Source organism: Homo sapiens, chromosome 11 (assembly GCF_000001405.40).
Source record: "Homo sapiens chromosome 11, GRCh38.p14 Primary Assembly".
Taxonomy (NCBI): Eukaryota; Metazoa; Chordata; class Mammalia; order Primates; family Hominidae; genus Homo; species Homo sapiens.
Window position 1 is genome coordinate 96,997,209 of NC_000011.10, and position 22,318 is coordinate 97,019,526.

Below are 22,318 nucleotides of genomic sequence, written 5' to 3' on the forward strand. Positions count from 1 at the left end.
AAGTTTGCTCACAAATTCTGGGGTTTAAACCATCACTCAGATATATTATTTATGGGCTTCAGCCAATAAAACCATCCAACAGTTTCAGAAAACAAATGACTACACGCCAAGTTCTATTCAGGAACAGTGAAAACTGTACAAAGTAGTGCTTATTCCTCCAAATGACAGTCATAGTTTGGGTATCACTGACAATCAACTAATGTTGACCTGTATTATTATTATCATTATTCCTCCCTCCCTCACCCCTTCTTTCCTTTCTTCCTCTTTCCTTTCTTCCCTCCCTCCTTTCAAACTTGCTCAAATGCTCACTTTATCGCTCTCTTTCTGTTTTTCTTTTCTCTTTTCTCCTCAATTGTTTGCTGTAATGCTAATGTGTTGGGGGCTGTTGGCTATTGTATGACTTACATTTCAAGTCATTGTCAGCATTAACATCTTTGATGCCTTCAATCATCTATTTGAACTTTGAACGAATGGGACATAGAGTATGATAGGTATGCACATAGGGAGTAAAGACGTAGAGCAACAGGAATTTCAGTAGGAACTGGAGACTTAATGGGATATGAAAGTAAGATGAACTGAATATCAAGTCAAGTTATTAAGACAATGGGATAGATTTAAAAAATAAAACAAGATAAAAAATGTCATATGTTTACTGCTGTGTTTAGGGGTAGCAATAACTTTGTGGGATATTTTTATCTGGTTCTTTACCATATACTCAGTGTCTAGAATCATCCCTGTCATCTACAATATGATATAATACATATCATATATACTATTTATATCATAAATATTTATATCTGATATATGATATATATCATTTATATCATATATAATATTTGTAACATTTATTGAAAGAAGGAAAGTTATGTTAAATAAACTTGATGTTTATATAGCCTCTGAACTTTTGATTCTAACTTTTAGGGAGGGAAATACACAGATTTTGGAGGTAGAGAGATTTAGCACAATTGTTTAATTAATTTAATATTTACCAGACACATTTAAGATAAAGGGACATAAGATAATAATAGTACATGGATTTAAATTTGTATACGTGTATTTAGAAAGGATTTTAACATTGCCTGGTCCCATAGGATACTAAATTATTTTACAACAGGTTAATTTTGGGTATTTGTTGGCTAGTACAACCTAAAGGGGACACTTAAGTGGAATGAAAGTTACTAAAGATGGGCTTTTGGTTTGTAATTTGTTTTTGTTTCTGAAAAAAAAAAAAACTTTTGAATTTAATAAAGAAATGCCAATAATTGGTACATACATTAATTCAAAATATTTTCACTAAGTACCATGTAGAATATTTCCCAATCTTTTCACAGAGAACCACGTTGAAAGAATGCCTAAAACTTATCAGTTTATCAAAAAATCTAAAGCTGTCAATCAGAGTTCCTAATTACTATGAGATGACAAGTTTTAAAATCTTGAGGTCAAATAGTATGAGCTTTCAAAAGCTTTGTTGAATGTATATATTCCAACTGAGGGGATTTCTTGGCCTCAGACTGGTAGTCACAAGTCCATGTGCCAGATACCATACACATGCAATCAAAACTGAGTAATAAGTATCATGCGTAAAAGATAATATATGGTCCCTGTATATTTAAGGAGAATAATGTCTAATTCCCATGGTTGTAAAGTTAGTGAGGGGCAGAGAGACAGATCCAAATTACTAACCACAAGGAAGAACCAAGCAATAGAAGAGATAAAAGTCCTGTGCCCTGGGGGCGCAGCAGAAAGGGCTCTGGGAGGTTTCAGAGACCAGGCGGCATCCAGGTCTGACCAAGAACATGAGTGGACATTAATGCGTGTGGGAAGGGGTTCTCGAAGCTGAAGAAAACAAACGAGAGAAGACATGGAGGCCCTGGAGTACTAGCTGTTCAGAAGACAGTAAAGCATTTATTATGGGTAAAGGGATGTGATCTGATAAGAAACATAAAACTCAGGAAAACCCGACCCAACAAGAGCCAAACACAATGCCGGTCTGTATTTCTTAACAGCAGTTCAACAGAGAATCCGAAGTGACCTGCAAAACTAACAAGACAGCAAAATATCTTCCGAAAGGCAGAGGCACCACATGCCCCTGGTGGAGGTCCCTTAGAATCAAATCCACTAGCAATAATTTTCCTTAATGAAAAATGTTTTCCCTCCCCAAATGTAAAACAAAAGCAATGTGAGTGAACAAAACTCCAAACAAAAAGAGACCATCAGAGCAAGCTTTAGCCCCTCATAGCTCACCTATGCCCCAACTGTCAGGCTACTGGGGACAAGTTCTGCTCCATTAGTTAAAATGACTCATGACTGCAGAAAGTAACAAAATTTAGCATATCACTGCTTTTATTACATCCCACCCCATCAAAAGTAAATAAACACCACACAAAATATAATTTTACCCCAAATAAAAGTCAGCATCAACCTAAATATCCTACTGTAATATCGCTACACTCACCCAGGATATTTTAATCCTCTTCCAACCTGTTTACAAAAAGAAATCCTCATTCTGAGAGCTCTGGAAGCATTGCAAATATTGCTCCATTAGATTCCACTTCTTGAGGAAGTTAGGTCTTGAAACAGAAAATTTATGTATTTTTCTCCACTACCACTGAAGGTCATTATTATAAAAGGCCTGCAACCAAAAACCTCATCCCCTGATTCTCAGGCTATTTTAATTTTTTTTCTTCAGATCAAACAAGCAATGAGAGACACACATAAAAAGATGAAAAGTTATCCAAAAACTTAAAAAAACAAGCAACAATAAAACCCATAAAGTAGAATCTGTGTCATCACATTAACAGTCTAAACTTTGTTAAAGACAAAAAAATATTTTTTTTACTTGATTTACCCAAGCTATAGGCATTTTATAATGTGCTCATGAAATTAACAGTTTATAAAAATAATGGAAACATTTTTAGGTGGAGGCATTAAACTAAAATCACCTCATTCTCTGGCAAAGAGTTCTTCCAAAATGTTAAGATCACAAGGGATGTGTGGCAAATCGCCTGCATAGGGCTGCATCACACACTAACCCACATTCAGGCTGCCAGCCTTTGCCCTTCTGCTCAAGTCAGCTTCAGAGGTTCAGGGATATTGGCAGACACCTGCTCAAGGTAGGCCAAGGAGCCTGAGGGATGTCGGCTGGCTTTTGTACTACACCTTAATATCCTGCAGCATCTGCTGCCAATGCCTCAGTTTTGTCAATTACTTCTGGACCAGCACATCTTTTCCTGTAATTCATTCCTTGGTTCTGAGACATCCTCTTTTTGATAACTTGCTCTGGTTTCTGGACAGTTAATTGCAATATTTTTTCTGTATGAAAATATATTGTTTGTTTACAATATCCGGAAGCTTCTGAATACTCTGATCAATACCCGTTTGAATTCTTCCTGATTGGTGCCATTGACATAGTCCTAACTCACCAGAGAAGCAAAGCAAGCACCAAAAGATGAGGCGGGGCGCCCCAGCAGGGGTGGTGTGGCCCCAGTGGCTGCCCAGAGAACATACCGCCTAGTGGAGCAGCTATGTCTGGAATCTACTTCTTATTTTATAATTTATCCAGTGGTTGGCCTTATTTATTCCACCACAAGGATGGCCTTAGTATCAGATCATAGGAAAAATGCTATTACAGAAATTATATAATAAACAGTATGCTGATTTGAAGAGGAATGAGGGATATTACATCTGACAAAGTTGCCTAACACATTACCCAAACTAATTAGCTTCTGCTGGAAGCAACCAGCATTTCAAACTGTGTGTTAAATATTAGAAACTGAAAATGACCAGGAGTTAGTTAGTGACTCATGGGCTTATTATAATGACAGAAATGTAGTATCTGGAGGAAAGCTCTGCATTTGCTACTTTGGCTGGCTCATGGTGATCCTGAAGCTGTGGTTTTTGGTTTACTGGGGAAAGAAGAAAACAGCCTATTACCATGTTATATTCAAATTACCACTCAAAGTGAGAAGTTAATGAAACATTTTTGTCTTTTTTTGACATTAATATAAATGTATCCATTAAAATAGGTTTCTGATCGTGAATGCAATTCATACACTAAAATGTACCATTTGTGTTGCAACAATACCACCTCAATAGTGCTTGTCTCCATTATGAATCAGTGATAAATACTTGATAAACTTAAGGAAATAAATAGTAAGTATCATGCATCTTATTGTGTAAATGGAATATAATGTGTAAGTTACTGTACTAGGCACTTTGAATAAAATGATGAGCAAGTTTACATGCTTTTCTGCTGTGGGGGATACTACCTTCTACTGAGAGACACAGAGAACTAAACAAATGAGCAAAAACAAGGGCAATTGATAAGAGAAATATGTGGAGTTGCACAGAAAGGGTACCCAAGAACGTTTAAGGGATACTCAAAGAACTCTACCTAGATGAAGCAGTATATAAATCATTGTAAAGGAATTAGTGGGATTTACCCAGGTTTTGGGGTGGAAGGTTGGTAGAGGTTCTAGCATAGTTAGCCAACAAATTTTATGGCACTTTAAATATAATGAACTACACTTGAAAAAAATATTAAAATGGTTATTAATGCCAAAAAATAAAATAATCCAAATGCAGCTGAAAACTCCTAGTGTAATAATAAATATAATTTAAAACCGTTATTTAGTATAAGAATTTAACTTTAGAAATGGCATCCATCATCTTTATTTAATAATTTTGTTTGCAAAAAATGTCTACTCTCTTTTTATTAAAATATAAAAATGGACAAATAAAAAATGTAGGAAATTTATTCCCAAAATTAAACATATAGGTCAGCAAAGAAGTCATACAATGGCCCTCTATAGAACTGCTTAATAAATTATTTGATCATAATTATGAAAAAAAATGGATCAATAAAAAGCCATAGTAAACTTCATAGTATATTATTTCTGAAGGCACAGAATTAGGCGATGCCTTTTCAGTAGTTTTTATGCTAAAAGAAATAGAACAAAATTGTAATATATAGATGATAGATATATCAGATCATTAGAAATACTTACATACACCTCATGTTACAACCTTGTCAGTTTATTACATTTAATTCAATTGACTACTACAAGCCCTCTCATAATAGACTTTGCAATTTAGACTGGCCTTGAAGAGTTGAAAGCATTTCTTACAAAGAATGATAAGGACAAGGCATCCCAGAAAACATATTACCCATTCACCTTTTGTATCCTTAGTGATAAGAAACAGATATATTGAAGCTAAATATGCAGTAATTATGATTTTATTTTAAAAACTCACTTCTATTCAACATTTCATGAAATAGTTTTACAAATCCCACTTCATTTGATACCTAAAACCTTTAGTTATTTCTGTTTGTCCTCTTTCACTGGCCTAGATAATGATAGTATTAATATAACTATTATTTATTAAGGACTTACTTATTTTGAGCATTTAAATATATAGAACCTTTAATGCTTATAACTACTTATGTAACAGATATTATCATTTTCTTTTCTTTTTCTTTTCTTTTCTTTTTCTTTTTTTTTTTTTTTGAGATGGAGTCTTGCTGTGTATCCCAGGCTGGAGTGCAGTGGTGCGATTTCGGCTCACTGCAAGCTCCACCTCCCAGGTTCATGCCATTCTTCTGCCTCAGCCTCCTGAGTAGCTGAGACTACAGGTGCCCGCCACCACGCCCAGCTAATTTTTTTTTTTTTTTTAGTAGAGATGGGGTTTCACCATGTTAGCCAGGATGGTCTAGATCTCCTGACCTCGTGATCCGCTCACCTTGGCCTCCCAAAGTGCTGAGATTACAGGCATGAGCCACCTGAGCCACCACACCTGGCCGATATTATTTTCTTTTGGCACATTATGAAGACAATATATGACACTTCTAATTAATATGTCAGAATTGAGAATCCATTGAGATGTAGACACTGGAGAGATAGTTGGAGATATAATATTTAAGCACTGATAATTTTTAGGCAATGTACCTTAGATGTATTGATAAAGGTCTGGTTATCACTTGACTCTGGATTAGGCACCCCAGGATTATTCATCCAGCTAGTAACACAGTTTCCTGCCTCCCCAGGAACCATTTTACAGATAGCGCCATGCATACTCTCAGTACCCCACCAGAGTCCTATGGGAATATAGAAGGAGATGAGCCATGTGTGCTCATTTATGTCTTTCAAGTTCAGTAAAACTTGAATTCTGGGAGGTCAACAAGAGACCAAGAAGCTTACTAAATGGAACTTCTTTTTCATGATAACATGATGTTGGGGGTAAAGAAAAGGTGTCTGTAGTATCCAAAATATGATTCTCCAAAGATGACCACATTCTAACCCCTGGAGCCTATGAATGTGTTATGTTACATTGAAAGGGGGAATTAAGGGGAAGATGAAATTAAATTTGCTTATCAGCTGACTGTGAAATGGAAAGATTATCCTGGATTATCTGGGTAGTCTCAATATAATCACAGGGATCCTTATAAGTGATAGAGGTGGAGAGTTAGCATCAGAGTGACACAAAGTGAGAAAGCCTGGAATGACCATTGCTGGCCTTGAGGAAGGAATGGGGACGTAGCCAAGGTCTGTGGCAGCCTCTAGACACTGGAAAAACTAAGAAAGTAAATTTTCCTCTAGGGGCTTCAAAAGGGAATGCAGCCAGTGGATGACTTAATTTTAGCCCTGTGAGGCCCATTTCAGACTTCTGTCCTCCAGAACTGTAAGATAATAAATGGGTTTTGTTTGAATCTGCTAAATTTGTGGTAATTTGTTCATAGTAGCAATTCAGTACGCATCAGGGTTTAGTACAATAACAGAACCCTGTATTGTTGTGTTTTTAAGCAGGTAGAAATTTAATACAAGATTTAGGTAATTGTAAAAGTGCCATAAGGATGAAAAGAATGGAATAAGGTGATATAATTGGACTTTGTATTGTCCAGGTTGGTCTCAAACTGCTGGGCTCAAGGGATCTTCCCACCTCAGCTTCCTGAGTAGCTGAGACTGCAGGTACCTGTCACCCTGGATGGATATATATATATATATATATATATATATATATATATATATATATATATATATTTATTTATTTATTTATTTTAGAGATGAGGATCTTGCTTTGTTGCCCAGGCTGATCTCAAACTCCTGGCCTCAAGCAATCCTCCTGGCTTAGCTTCCTGAGTAGTTGGGATTACAGGCACGAGCCATCATGCCAGCTATCCTTGGACTCTGATTTAAAATCACATGATGTCAACTCCCAACATTACCAACATCCCTGCTCTACAGTACTGAGGAAGCTGGTGAATAATTGTGTTCACCAGCTGGTGAATAGTTGTGTAATATTAAGTCAATCGTTTTTTACTTTGGATGGTTACCTCAACATCCCCAGATCTCTGTCCAACCTTAAGATAGCACCCTGAGTTTTTGTGATGTTCACCTCCCATTCTCCAGCATACACACACACGCACACACACACACACACACACACACCCGTACATGTATGTACACACACACACACACACACATCTATATGTATGTATAGGCATTTACAACATTTCTGCTCACCAAATTCAGTCAACACAATGTTATCAATGCAGTGGACCCGTCTAATACCCTGTAGAATAGTGAGATAATCAAGATTTTTGGGGCCAGTTTATGCAGAGAACCAGAGGTGAACTAGCAAAGGTGTACTTCTGACCTGAAGCTAAACTGCATCTGCTTATTAAGATGGGGAAAGTAAAAGAATTTGCACTTTCAAAACTGCTTACCAGTTATCAGCAGAATGTTGATTTGCTAGAATAAAGCTATCACAGGAGGAACAGCAGCCCAGTTGCATTTAATTCCCTGATCAAGCTTAAAATAATTCACTCTCTTTATCCAAGACCAATCCATCTTCTCTTCACAACAGCAATCTATCTTCTGCTACTTAAATTGAGACATGAGAGAAATCACCACATGGGCATCCTTCAAGACTTACGGTGGCACTAGTATTTGTGGTTCACCAGGGATGCAAGATCGAATTTGGTTTATCATTTTGGTGGAGTGCGGACATTCAAGGACTTTTACCTAGGCCTTATAAGCAAAATAGTCCCTATTCTATGAGTGAGGGGGGATCGGTGTGGAAATTCATCTAGCTGCCAATTAGGTAATTATGTAATCCAATTCCAATTATGCAATCAAAAATGATAGAAATAAACAGAGAGTTGTTTTATAGGCCTGCTGTAAGAGCTGAACTCAAGCTAAACTCTGTATTATTTGCTTTATATACACTCTTATTCTGACTTGTACAGGTCAGTAACATAGGAGAATCCAAGTATTATTGCTAACTGGGAGCCATTGTATGGTAATCCTTGAAAAACCAAGGTTGCTTTCTTTTCTTTGTGTAAAATATAGACCCATCTTGGTAAATGGCTGCAAATCCCTTTAGGAAGCCTAGAATAATATATATTTAGTGACCCTAGAGGGTGATATAGATGAGAGTGGGTGAATAGGTCATAAAAAATGTACTCCAGAACTCCTATCTCCTTAAGTTGTTAGATTTTTTCCATCATATTATAAAAAGAGTTTCTAAAAACTTGATTTAATTTAGGCAACTGATGTATCCAACATTCATTTAAACATCCGACAATTCAAGTCACTTTTAGCTGCCTGTATCTCTTATTTGTTAACACTCTTATAGTACTTAACTATGTTCCAGATACTTCTCTAAACAGATACATATATAAATTAATTTAATCTTTGCAATAGTCTCATGGGGCCAATATAATTATTTTACTCATTTTATAGGCGTGAGAAATTAGGCAAAGAACAATTAATCATCTTGTCCAGGGTCACAAAGCTTGTTAGTGCTGGAGATGGACTTGAATCCAAAATTTTGTGTATGTGCATCTTTAACCATAAATTCACGTTCTCTAATATGTTCATTCTTCCCTTGTCAGAAGCCACAAAATTCATTCTTATACATATTCCCTAAGTTTGTGACTGTATAAATCAGGAAAACCTTGCAGCTATTTCTTTCTGATATGTGCACCATCTCCTTTCAAGTCAGATTTTGCATTTGTCCTCCTGAGGCTTGTTAGGATGTAAGTCTAGTTATGAGTTTGAAAGCCACAAGGGGTGGCAGCAACAGGGCATGAGGATAATCTACAAGTCCTTTGAAGTAATGGCCTAAGGTGATGTGACAGTTACTAAGGGATTGTCAGCTTCCAACCCACCCGTCTGTACTCATGATCCTGGTGCTGGGTCTCTGCAAATACATTGCTGGTTGGCCACCGGGCTCTGTACTAGGATCTACAATAAAGGGGCACTAGAAAGATACCGCAAGGCTAGAGGAAAGAGAAGCTTCTTTCTACTTCCAGTTTCCTCCACGTGAATTTACTGTTTGCTTCTTCTGGTTCCTGTAAAAGTAACCCCAGCAACGGTTCTCCACCCAGGAAGTGGAATTTTCTTCCAGTGGAATCACCTATATCCATTGTGTAATTTTTCCAACATTGGTATAACCAACTTTATTATGCACCCACTTTAACTCACCAGCCTTAGCAGGCCGACATCCCCTCTTCAAAGGTCTGGGTCCCAGCGTCTCAGGCTTCCTTCCTGTAAGTTTCTAAGTTTTAATAATGCCCACCATTCCCTTTGTTCCCTCAGACTTAGGGACAAAAGCTGTCTTCTGCAGCCCCAGCTTTATAATACCTCATAGTTCTCATTTTATCCTCTCAGTTACCTGGCTACTATTTTTCTACTTAGCGATTTTTTATATTAAATTTTCTGTCTGTTCAAGTAATTGGTATGATTTCTGTCTTTTTTCTGGACCCTGGCTGATGTAGGTAAGATCATTTCAGTGTCTTCAAGCAAGGCATGATTTTCTTTGACAGAATGGTAAAGAGCAGCTACTTCTATAGGCAAGGAAACATCAATGGGATATGGAGTTTGTAAGACTTATTTTTATTATAATTCACCCAAATATTTTCTTATGATTCTGAGAGGCTCAGTCTTTCCCAATCAGTGCCCCGACTTTCACACAAGAGACCTGGCAAGGTCAGGAATTCAAATTAGTGTGTAATTCTGTAACTCCTTGAATTGGTTTCTGTGTCTGATTTATTGTTATCTCAGGCAGTGGCTATGAGAGATAAGAGATTCTTTTAAAAGACTCAAATAAGACTAAACCTATTGGCACAGGTAAGTTTGAGAAGCAGAATAAAGTCAAGTGTTTACAGCCCTGAGCTATGATTTTCTCTCTTCATGCTACCCAGTTCAAGCAGAAGAAGGCCAGCTCACCTCAGTCTCTGTATTTCTCATTGCCATCATAGTGCTCATTTGCAGCAGCCACTTGAACTCTCAGTCCTACTCACTGATAAGAAACTACGTGCTACGAACAACTACATATCATGGGTCACCTACAATCCATTTTTCCCTGATGATGAGGTAATCACTTCTTTCAAACCAGGTCACATAATCCATCCAACATATCTAGTTTTAGGGCCTTTCCCTGGAACTTTTCCAGCTCTCTGTATTTTATTAAAGTTTCGTGTGAGAAATAAAAACTGCTTTAGATATTTCAAGTACAAAGTGACTTAATATCAATATTTTTATTCAAGATCTAGGAATTTATTTATGTCTACACATGGATGTCCTTTACTTAGGAACTCTAAAAAAGCATTAATATTATATAATTGCTAAATGATTTTTCCTACTGCTATTGGCCCAACATATGCATTATAAATTCCAACAACAGACAATTATTGTATCATGTTATAACTTAAAAACTCTTCACGTTTTCAGTTTTTATGTTTGCATGGTCTTGTCTTCTTTTTCTGGATATTTGTTTTCCATGGGGGTATATATATGGGTGAATCATTTCTTTGCCCTCTTCCATTTGATCATAGAACTTAAGGACATCATTCTGAAGTCAGACATAGATGGATATGAATAACATATATTAGCTGTGTGATACTAGAAAATTATTTACCCTTCTTGAGCACTGAAACTTCTCATTATAATGGCTATAATTGGTATCTATTTACAAGGTTGCTATGAAGATTAAGTAAGGCACTTTAGCATATTTTGGCATAAAAATGTGTTATTAAGATGAAACATTAGTTTTGTATGTTTTTTCAGATGCATTATCATATGCTGTTAAGCTTATTGCTTTGAATGTACTATCCTTCTGAGAAAAGGTAGGAAAGACAGGAAAGGGGGTTAGGCAAGTCTCACATCAGTGTTCCTGCTTTTCATCCTACCTCACTACCCTCATGAGAAGCCAGCTTTCCATTGGAGAGCTCCTGAGAGGCTGAAATCCTGTATGAGAAGATCCTCACTTGTCTCAGAGCCAGTCTGACCATGAGAGAAGAGATTAGATTGATTTGTGAGTGAATATTGGGGAAGAGGCTGGATTGATGAGCCTAAGACAGGGATCCTGGCTCCCCTTAGCCTACTGGAGAATGCAGAGGACCCAAAAGTTTCTTCATGTTCCTGTGGGAAACCAAAGATATGCTAGATTAATATACTTTAGCTGGAGCTGAGAATGAGGAGATTGCAGTGTACAGAGATTTTTATGAACAAAAGGAGAAAAGTTGAGAATTCATCATCAGATACCAGCTTAATGCTAATTGGTACCGGAAGCATCTCAAGATATATTAATTCAGGGACCACAAAAATGATGAGACCTGGTTGCATAAACAATCTGCTTGGGAAGGTAGAGTAAGGACTTACCTCTAAGAACATCAAGTCTTCTTTGGCCTCTCTGCCATCTTCCTTCTTCACCCTCCATAAGGTCTATTACAATTCCCACCCTAGAAATGCAGAGGTCATCTTGAGGGGCCATGTGGACAGGAAATTTAAATCTTAAATCCTGAGCATGTATCTTAAATCTTCAATGAATTAAGAGAGTATTTAAAACTAAAAGAAATTAAGAATATTAAATGGAAAGTTTGAGGTTTTTAAATCGAAATTTTATTTATTACTATGCAGTAGGTTGTTTATACAGGTCATTAGATCAGTTATAGAAAATTAAAGAAGTTATGCTTCTCTGTACAACTGAGTTGTAGTATACTCATATGTGAATCTGATATAATACCAGATATATTATTTCACTGAAATCAAAGGACTTTTTTTTACTGCCATTTGCATGAACTAAAAGCATGTGTAGGAAGACAATGTTTCTACAGAAGCAGAGAGAATAGGCCCCAAAGTACAGAGATGCACATATATAGTTTAAAGAATATATCACGTATATATCTTTTAAAATAACTACAAATATTCTATCTAGGAAATAAAACCAAATAGAACCAATCATGCATTTACTATAATAAATTGACTGAATCATTCCCTAGAGGCATAATATTTTGCAGGCATTTTCGAAAAATCCAAGTTTTCTAAGAGAAACCAGAATTCCCTTTTATTCAGTAACGTGTCATTGTACCCCCTCTACAACCTTCAGCTTTATTTTATTCATATTTGCTCTTTTTTGGGTCTTAAAATAGGCTTTGGTTAAGCCAGCTGTTCATAAAACAGGAGAGAAAAAAAAGCAAGCTCAGGAAAGCACAGTGTCTGGCTTAGATTTTGCATAGTTGCTATACTAATCAATATCACAGTAATTAAAATCATTCATGATTAATGGGCTGGCATTTTTATAGGGCATTGTTGTTTGCAAAAGCATTTCACAATCTATTTTGTCTAACTGCCCAGTAGGAGCGAGCCCCAAATCACCTGGCTACCTTTTGTCCTTTTTTTCCATCTGAACTACTCCTGTCTTTGGAATACCTTGCCATAGGATGCAATTGTGGATTTCCCCTCTTTCTGTGTGAGAAAATCCTTTTCTCTCACAGGCAAAGACTGCTGCTGGAATTTAAAGATTGCCACTTATTTTGCCAACTATTCATTGAATTTACCTTCTCTCTATACAAAAAAAACCCCTGAGATACCAGGACTTTGAGAGGCCAATGTATTACTTTGTGACCCTAAGGCTATACCTATTTGCATTATTTCTCTCTGGAAGACAGAGTAGTCAATACTATAATTCTTCTCTTATCGACTCTAGACTGAGACTCTAAATTTTGAGTTCTAATCCTGGCACTGAGATTAATGTAATCATGGAAAATTGACATTTTAACCACACACCAAAAAATAAGCTTAAGCATTAGGAAGGCAAGTCCCTTAAGGAGGTAGTAAGACAAGCCATTGCTTGCAGTTACTTAAATGAACCAAAATGCTTAAAGTAAATATTCCTTGGATACTAGATTGTGTTTTTGATATCCCCTTATCTTGCATTAATTTCAACAAGGATTTTTTGCACTTACAGCTGCTGAGAAAAATAAAAGACTGCACAAAAGCCTTTAAGGGCTTTTGAGGATTGACTTTCTATACTTCATCAGAAAACAGTTCATAAAGAATCTAAATTTGTAATCCTGGATACATTGCTTTTCATCAAGTATCAATGAGTAGTCAAATTGGTCAATGTTAATTTCATTCTTTGTCTGCCAATGATTTGCACATTTCCTTTCAGACCATACCCACTTCTTTCTACAGAAATCTTTAAAATATTCTTTAAGAAGACAACAGAAATCATGTGGAAGTGATATAGCCTTGAGAGTTTTATTAATATGATTCTTGATAATTTGCTACAGAATTTTTATAGCTTAACTACAGTACTACAAAATGTGATCTATTTAAAATCTGAATGAACCTACAATTCATTCATAAAGCATTTCAACAAGTATATGCAGAAACTCCACGTTAGAATCAGAGTGGTTAAACTCTCTCTGGCTGCACAAAAATCCAACAAAACCACCTCTTCAGGCAAAGCTTGTAAGGGAGCTCACTACCTTGACAGAGTCTTAGTAGTGAGAGGTGAAACCGGCTGGACTTCCTGGGTTGAGTGGGGACTTGGAGAACTTTTCTAACTAAAGGATGGTAAACACACCAATCAGCGCTCTGTGTCTAGCTAAAGGTTTGTAAACGCACCAATCAGCACTCTGTAAAAACGGGCCGATCAGCATTCTGTAAAATGGACCAATCAGTGCTCTGTAAAATGGACCAATCAGCAGGATGTGGGCGGGGCCAAATAAGGGAATAAAAGCTGTCCACCTGAGCCAGCAGCGGCAACCTGCTTGGGTTCCCTTCCATGCTGTGGAAGCTTTGCTTTTTCGCTTTTCACAATAAATCTTGCTGCTGTTTGTTCTTTGGGTCCATACTACCTTTATGAGCTGTAACACTCACTGCGAAGGTCTGCGGCTTCACTCCTGAAGTCAGCAAGACCATGAACCCACCGGGAGGAACAAACCACTCTGGAGGCGCCACCTTTAAGAGCTGTAACACTCACTGAGAAGGTGTGCGGCTTCACTCCTGAAGTCAGCAAGACCACAGACCCACCAGAAGGAAGACACTCCGGACACACCTGAACATCTGAAGGAACAAACTCCAGACACGCCATCTTTAAGAACTGTAGCACTCACTGCAAGAGTCCATGGCTTCGTTCTTGAAGTCAGCTAGAACAAGAACCCACCGGAAGGAACCAATTGCAGACACAGTAGCATCTGTAAGTAGAAAGAGCAGAAGCAGAAGAGATTTAAGGTTTTAGAGCCTGGTTTTAGGTGGATCTTTTGAAGCAAGGGCTTCATTAAGGTAAGGTCCATGATTTAATAGTTGAGGATTGACAGACACAGTAAGGTAAGAATTTTAAGTTGAGAATATAAAAATCTTGCAATCCTAGGTGGCAAACAGTTCTTTGACATTGTCTGTTTAGAAGTTGAATAATTTGATGTTCATTAAATGATTTCATGGGAACTTCCTAAAATGAACAATAAAGTTATTTACAGTTTTATTTTCCTGGGCAAGAATTCTCTGGAATAGAAAAAATATGCTAGTGAGAGTAGTTAAGTTGTTAAATCATATCACTTTGACTGTAAGCTACATGGTTATAGAGGCCAAAAAAGAAAAACAAAATTATGCATATACATAATGTAGAAAACAGAATAAACTATTAAAAATAAAGAGTAAGAAATAGAACAATTGGATTTTTAAATAGTGTAAAGGACATTATAGCTTCTATGTAGAAATTTGAAGTGCTTTCAATCAATCTTTACTTGTAACACTTTCTTGATGAAGCTAGAAAAGTAAACATTTAAACTCCATTTAGCCTCATTGTACATCTTGAATTATGTCTACATTTCCATTCTATTAAAACATATTTTAGGCACCACTTTCAACACAGCTTCTTAGCCTCTGGTTCCCGTGCTGCTTATGAATTTAAAATGTGGGAAATCTGTGGGAAATGTGGCATAAAATATGGGGCCTACTTCAATGCATTTGCCTTCTCTCTGGGATCCTGGAGAAGCAAATAGTAATCAACTCTCAAAATAGGTTTTTCTATCTCCTGGTCTCACTAACCTGATCTGCATGAAAGCCAAAGACATTGTCTAATCATTTAGTGCAATATCCCCAGATCCTAGTAGAGTGTCCAGCTTATGGACAGTGGCCATTAAACATTTGTTGAATGAATGAATCCACTATTCTGTCTAACTTCTGCTTTCTAATTCCAGAAATAGGGCCTGGAGTTTCTTTCACTTTTTTCTACTCTTTTTATGTATTTTATGTTACTTGTGATGCAGCAAATCGATTGAGAACAAATCAATGCATTTTATTAATTGGGCAACTGTGGCTGATTCAGGGATAAACATAGGGTCTGATTTGGGCATGTGGTATCCCCAAAATCTTGGTTCTAAGTTGCTCTTTTTTTTGTTTTTCACGTGGTGAGACTGCAGGATGGTAGGCAGGATCTGCTACTGTGATCATGCCGCTCTGAAGGGAAACACCCTTCTGAAAATGAAGGCAACCCATGGAAGAGCACAGCTAGCTGATCAATACACCTGAATGCTGTTTTGTTAGACTCTGAATCTAAGCCATGCCCGAAAGACTTTTCAATTATGCAATCCAATATATTCATTGAATGCTTAAGCCAGTTTTGATGGAATATTTATGAGGATAAAATTAAATAATATAAATAAGAATACCTTAACAAATACATAATAAAAATTAGAGGGCACAATAAATACATGTCTTTTAAAAATTTCTTGCTTCATGCCTTCTTTCATTATACTTCTAGAACACTGATATTTTTTAATATTAACTGACAGCATTGAAATTATTACACTAGATGACATAACATTTTGTATCTATAGGGAATTATTTAAGGGCAACTTGAAATCCATTTTCCCCAAATCTCTTACTTACCAATAAAGAAACTGAAGATCCGAAAATAACTTGATAATAGACATAAAAATAGTTAAGAATGACCTAGAAATTGCATCTCAGTCTTTTACCTCGTTAACTGCAGGCCCTTTTTACCATATCACACCAGTTCTCAGTTTCCTATGTTTTGCATTTCACATGTTTTGGCACATATAGTGATACATTTTGATAAAATGTTATGTGTTTTCCAGAGCCTTTTTAAACAATCGTCTCCCAAATCCTCACCATGGACAAATATTTAAGTATAATCTCATTTTCTAATAACCTATCACCAATGATTTATTAATCATCTATTGCGAGGCCTATACTGTGTCCGTCCTGGATGATGAATGTAAAATATTCCACATTAAACTATGGAGGTGATACTTATAGGAAACCTAACAAATAACAACAACAGCAACAATAATAATAAAAAAATACATTATGAGGTAAGTCTTTGGGCAGTTGTAATCATAATACTTTTTGCCTCCAAGCCTTTTGAGTTCCCACCTTAAAATGCCTGGTAAACTGATGTGACGATACTGGTACAAGGTAATCCCAGCTTCTTTATTCACAGTGGATTGAACTGATAGTGTGCGAGCTGGGCCAACCATATTCCCTGTCTTTCAGGAGATCAAGCTCAGAGACACTAAGAGACTGAAGCATTTAAACATAAGGAACTGATCTCCAAAGTCATGTGTTATTGAGGAGGGACAAATTAGATGAGGAGAGTTTGTCTTTCTTATTGCTCACAGCATTGACATATCCACTTTTCAATGAGACTTTGTCTTCGGATCTTAGCTGGGCATTCAAACAGCTATAATACCCTTTGATTTAAAATTTGCGACATATGAACTGAACTAAGGAGTCTTTTCCTTTGTGATTCACTAAACCAAAAGTTTTGGTTTGTTCCCTATTTGATTGATGAGAAAATTATTACACTTTGCTCAATGGAGGACTTGGAAGTACACAGTTTGTATATAAACAGGTTTGTTGGGGAGCAGGACTTTATATCCCATAGTAAGAAGGTTCAGATTTAGAACCAATACTGTTAATACATTTATTAATATAAAAATGCTTCATACTGTCACATAAAAGTATTGATTTTAGATTATATTGTGTGTTTTTAATGGGCTGAATGCACTCATTTTCATCTGGAAAGCAATGAAATGTTGCTTTCATTTTCAGAACACTAAGGGATAAAAATGGACCCACAAGATATGCAGGGAAAATCTTTGTATTAGATGTTGAACCTTTGAGAAGAGGATGCAGAAAACACTGTTTGCCACTTAAAAGTTCCTCTAAGCAAGAAAATAGTTCTTTACTTAGTCTAAATCCACTGATTCGTCAAAATTGAGCAAAATACTGTCAGTGGTCAGTGAGGTTTGCCTGTGCAGTTGAAAAGATAGAAAGTAGGCTCTGGCAGTCGTTATGCCTCAACAAAAGAGATTAAAATATTCCAAAGGTGGCTATCAAGCTAAGGGCTCATGTAAACCAAAGTTATGGGAGAGTAAAATAGCAATATACAGGCAGAAGTATCAGACCTGAAAAGAGAAGTATGAGTATTCTGACATCAACTGGTGTACTGCAATTCAGTGCTGGCTCTAACCTACTGGAGTTACTGCAGACCCCGTGAGTTAAGGGCTCAGTTCACAAGATGACTCTCACTTCAGATACCTGCTGCACTTCAGGTATCCCCAGACAACCAATACTTCCGACCAACTGGCTACAAATTTGGAGGTTCCCACTAACAACTGCCTCATGTTCAATAATTTACTAGAATGACTCACAGGACTCAGAAAAGCACTAAATTTGTGGTGGCATTTTTATTATAAAGGATTCAAGTCAGGACCAGCCAAATGAGGAGACACACAAGGCAAGGTCTGAGAGGGTTCAGAATACAGAGCTTCAGTGTCTTTTCCCCGTGGAATAAGGGTTCATTACCCTCCCAGCATATCATGTCTTCCCTAACCAGGAAGCTCTACTGAGCTCAGTGTCTAGAGTTTTTGGTGGAGCTTCATTATGTAGGCATTATTGATTGAATCCTTGACCATGTGATTCAACTCACCCTTTAGCCCTTCTATTCTCCCAGCAGTTGAGAGGTTAGGCTGATACCAAGTAGCTAGAAGCTGTAACCCTCTAATCACGTGATTCATCTTTCTGGCCCTATCCTGAGTCATCTCCTCAGCACAGACTCAGGTATGATCTAAGGACTAACCGTGAACAACAAAGATACTCATATTATCTGGGAAATTCCAAGAATTTAGAGGTTATCTCCCAGGAACTAGGGACAAATATCAGACATATGCTTTATTATACAATAAAGAGACTGAATAGATTTTCAAAGATAAGCAGAGAAGATTTCAAAGAAAAGCAAGGAAAGGAAGGGGTAGTCTGAATACTTAACCTTGGGTTTGAATCCTTTATAAAGTTTTCTTTATTTTGGGGCATTATACAAGGTAAAACAACTTGTACTTTCATTGGTTTCCATTCTGTTAACCAAATCATCTTTCTTATTTAATAGAAACTCATGAAAACAAACCAAAAAAGCAAGACTGAGCTAATCCTCAAATAATTTATAGGGCTTTGATTGGTACTGAAGAGTCCTAGTAATATTCCAGATGGAAGAAAAAAAGCATGAGGAAACATAATAAGATTCAGCATACATGAAATGTGTGAGTGTCTATGATTACTTTTATGGTAATAGCGTCTCTTTGGAGTTCTGTAGATACTTAAAAACAATAAAAAGAACAACTAGTCTGGCTCAGGAAATTTAGGAGATTTCATGAAGCTCTTTTGGATACTATGGGAACTGGAGCTGTTGATGTCTCCATACTAGCTCCAACGTAAGATAGTAAGGCCAAAGGTTAAGCGTTCTTCTAAGGTAAGCTTTCAAAATATTTTCCTAAACTGAACTGCATTGTAACATGGTAACATCTTACATTTTCTGATCACAATTATAGAAATCATTATTGGAAAAAATGGGAGAATTAGGCTTGTCCTTTAAAATTTTTATCTTTAACTTTCAAACGTTTGTCCTGGAACACCCCGTCCTTTTGAACACCTGTCTTCTTGTGACATTTAGCTCAACTGCTTGACACTCAAGTAATTTCCTGTCCATACAACCATAGAACATCAATATTTCAGTTGAATATGTAAGTTATATTGATCCTCCACAGCAGTGACAAAAAGTAAGGTAAAGATTCTTGACAAATGACATATCTAGTTATTCCTGGTCACTCTATTCAAAAGATAAGAAATAGTAAAATGACATGATAACACTGTAACTTAAGAGCACAATAGTGAACTAATTTGACGTTAGATTCCTAAGTAGAGGATCCAGAATATTCCTCCACTATACTTGAAGCTGTCTCGTTAGAATTTGGTAACTACATTTAGCACATAGGCTTGAGTAGAACAGTGGGAAGAACTCATTTCAGGGAATATTAAAAAATACAGATGAAAATATTGGATAGAACAAACCGTTAAGGACTTCAAAAGCAAACTAGATGACTTAAACTTGGTATGATTCATATTTTAAATATTTTTCCCCTGGAGTGACTAAAGAGAGCAATTTAAGATCAATCTGGAAAGAATATATAGGAAAAATTAGAAGGGAAGACAGGATAGCAAGTTAAATGGTTGTGGGAAGTTGATGAAAATTGTGAAAATGTATTCAAAGAAGACACAGGAAATGATGTTCAGAGCATAAGAAAAGGAGGTGATTTTAATGAAGGATATCTTTTTCTCTGAGTAGTAATTATTATAATTATTAGTAACAGTTATTTCCCCATAAATCTAGCTTCGTCTGGATACTTCAGCCTGCTGAGACTCCTCTGGTTCTTTATTGCTTCTTCTCAAGGAAAAATAATTTATGCAGTAGCTAAAAGCCTTTTTCAGCATGTCCAGGTTATAAGGCAAGTATATGCAGTCTGTGGAGGCAGTTAGGCATGATAAACATATTCCAATACATTTTTCTTCAATCCTCTGCCTAACGAGATGACAATCTTGTTTTCCTTCTGTACCTCTCCTTTTTGCTCTCCATTTTCTTTTGGGAGAAACTCAGGGTTGAGTTTGAATTTCAAAGTTGTTTGCATTATATTCTTTAAGACACACATGATAACATAGATGCACCAAAAAGGGAAAGCCAGATTATTATTTACTCGACGACCCCAAGAGTTTTTATGGACACTTTTCAATGTAGTATGACTGCCCAAATAAGTTTTTGAATTATTATTATAATTGTTAAGAGAAGAACTAATCCAAATGGCTACAATTTTGAGTCCAAGGGAGGTCAACTATTGCAACTCGCTTTGCAAATATGGTATAATAAGAAAAGCAGTTCATTCTCTAAATTTATTTTGACCATTTCCCTCTCTGTTAATTATTATACTTTCTACATCTTTGTCCATAATGTTAGAATGTCGTTATGTTCTAATTGACACTCTTCTTGGATGCTATCTGAAATTTTTAGAAATCAATTACATAATTCTGTTATAAGTATATATGAAAGCATAATAATTAGACCAGTAAATAGAACTTGAGATTCCATTTTAGATTTACAAAGTAACATGCATCTACTTAGTGATATATAGCATTTTGGTAGCTCTTATATTATTATACTAGTCCCATACTTTTCCCAACACTCTTCTCCCCTATGTGTACATGTGTATGTGTTGAATGGGAATATGTGTGTGTGTTTGAGTCTTTCTAGGGTGCCCTTGGAATGTAACTGGAAAATGTGGGATATTTAATCATGAAACATAAGCATGTCCCCACTTCATTAACTAAAGATTAATTTGCCTATACTAATAGTCCTTGGTTGGGTTGTATCATAACCTAGAGATATTTTGGAAATTTCAGGGAAGCAGGTTGGAAATTTCTGATGAGAGAATTTTGTGTGTCCTAATGATTGGGAGACGTTGTTACTGGCATTAGTGTTTGAGTCAGGAGAATCATTAATGTTGACAGAATCACAAAATTAAGAATATTATAAAGTTGCTCACAACTTTCAAATATCCCTCTAGATATTCTAAAGGTGAAAGCCTTGTTTATCATTCAGTCCTAGAACCTGACTCTGGTTTAGTGACAAGCACCTTTTTTTACATAGTTTTAATGTAGACTGAATTTTTGAAAATGTAATTACTGTGGCATTTGAAGAAACAGTGCCTGTTTTAATTCAGAATTTTCACAAGATTTATCGGTTTTAGAAGAATTATGTTAACGAAAGGAGCAATGGTTATGGGATTTGAAACTCCACATAATTGTCCTGTGTTCCCCTACATTCATAGTAATTCATAATTATGGATGTTGTCACATTCACAATAATTCTGTGAATGGGTTCAAATGTCTGAATATTTTATTTGTTGATTTATATACTGAATGTATTATTTAATGAAAATTTTTTTCCCACAGTGGATGCTGCACTGCTCATCTTCCCCTTAATAGCCTATACCCCTATACCCCCACACCCTAGCTGCTATGGAAGTTGACTGCTAACCATTTAAAAAATCATTTCAGGAGATGGAGCAAAGTGGCCTATCCTGTGCAAAAATACCATATTTTAACAACTAGTTACACACAGAAAGCATCATCAATAGAACCAAAAATCAGGTGAGCACTCACAGTACCTTGCTTAAACTTCATAATGCTAAAAGAGGCACTGAAAAGGGGTAGAAGAGACTATCTTGAATCACAAAAGTCAACCTTCCCCTATCCCCCAGCAGCAGCCACTGGGCACAGAGAACGTGTGCACATGGGACAGGAAAAGCACAGATACTAGGGGACTTTAACTCAGTGCTGCCCTGTCACAGCAGAAAGCAGAACCAGTTGTACCCAGCTGATGCCCACCCATAGAGGGAGCATTTGAACCTGCCCTAGCCAGAAGAGAATTGCCCATCCCAGCAGTCAGACCCTGAGTTCTGGCAAGTCTTGCAACCACAGGCTAATGTACTCTGAGGCCCTAAGGAACTTGAATAACAGTCTAGGCCACAAGGAATGCAATTCCTAGGCAAGTGCTAGTGCTGAAGTGGGTTCAGAGCCAGTGGACTGGGGGTGGCCCATGACCTACTGAGATACCAGATGAGGCAGCTAAGGAAGTGCTTATGTCACTTTGTCCCCATAGCCCAGCGGTGGCCACA

General features: G+C 36.7%; 1 long non-coding RNA gene and 1 pseudogene across 1 annotated transcript; one reads left to right on the forward strand and one right to left on the reverse strand.

The window, feature by feature from the left end:
- On the reverse strand, positions 3,019-3,535 carry MED28P5 (mediator complex subunit 28 pseudogene 5; annotated as a pseudogene).
- Positions 14,335-18,839, forward strand: LOC105369448 (uncharacterized). The gene is made up of 3 exons (XR_001748338.1): positions 14,335-14,487; positions 16,391-16,627; positions 18,703-18,839. It is a non-coding gene; the product is annotated as an uncharacterized LOC105369448 (long non-coding RNA).
- The last annotated feature ends 3,479 nt before the right edge of the window (positions 18,840-22,318 follow it).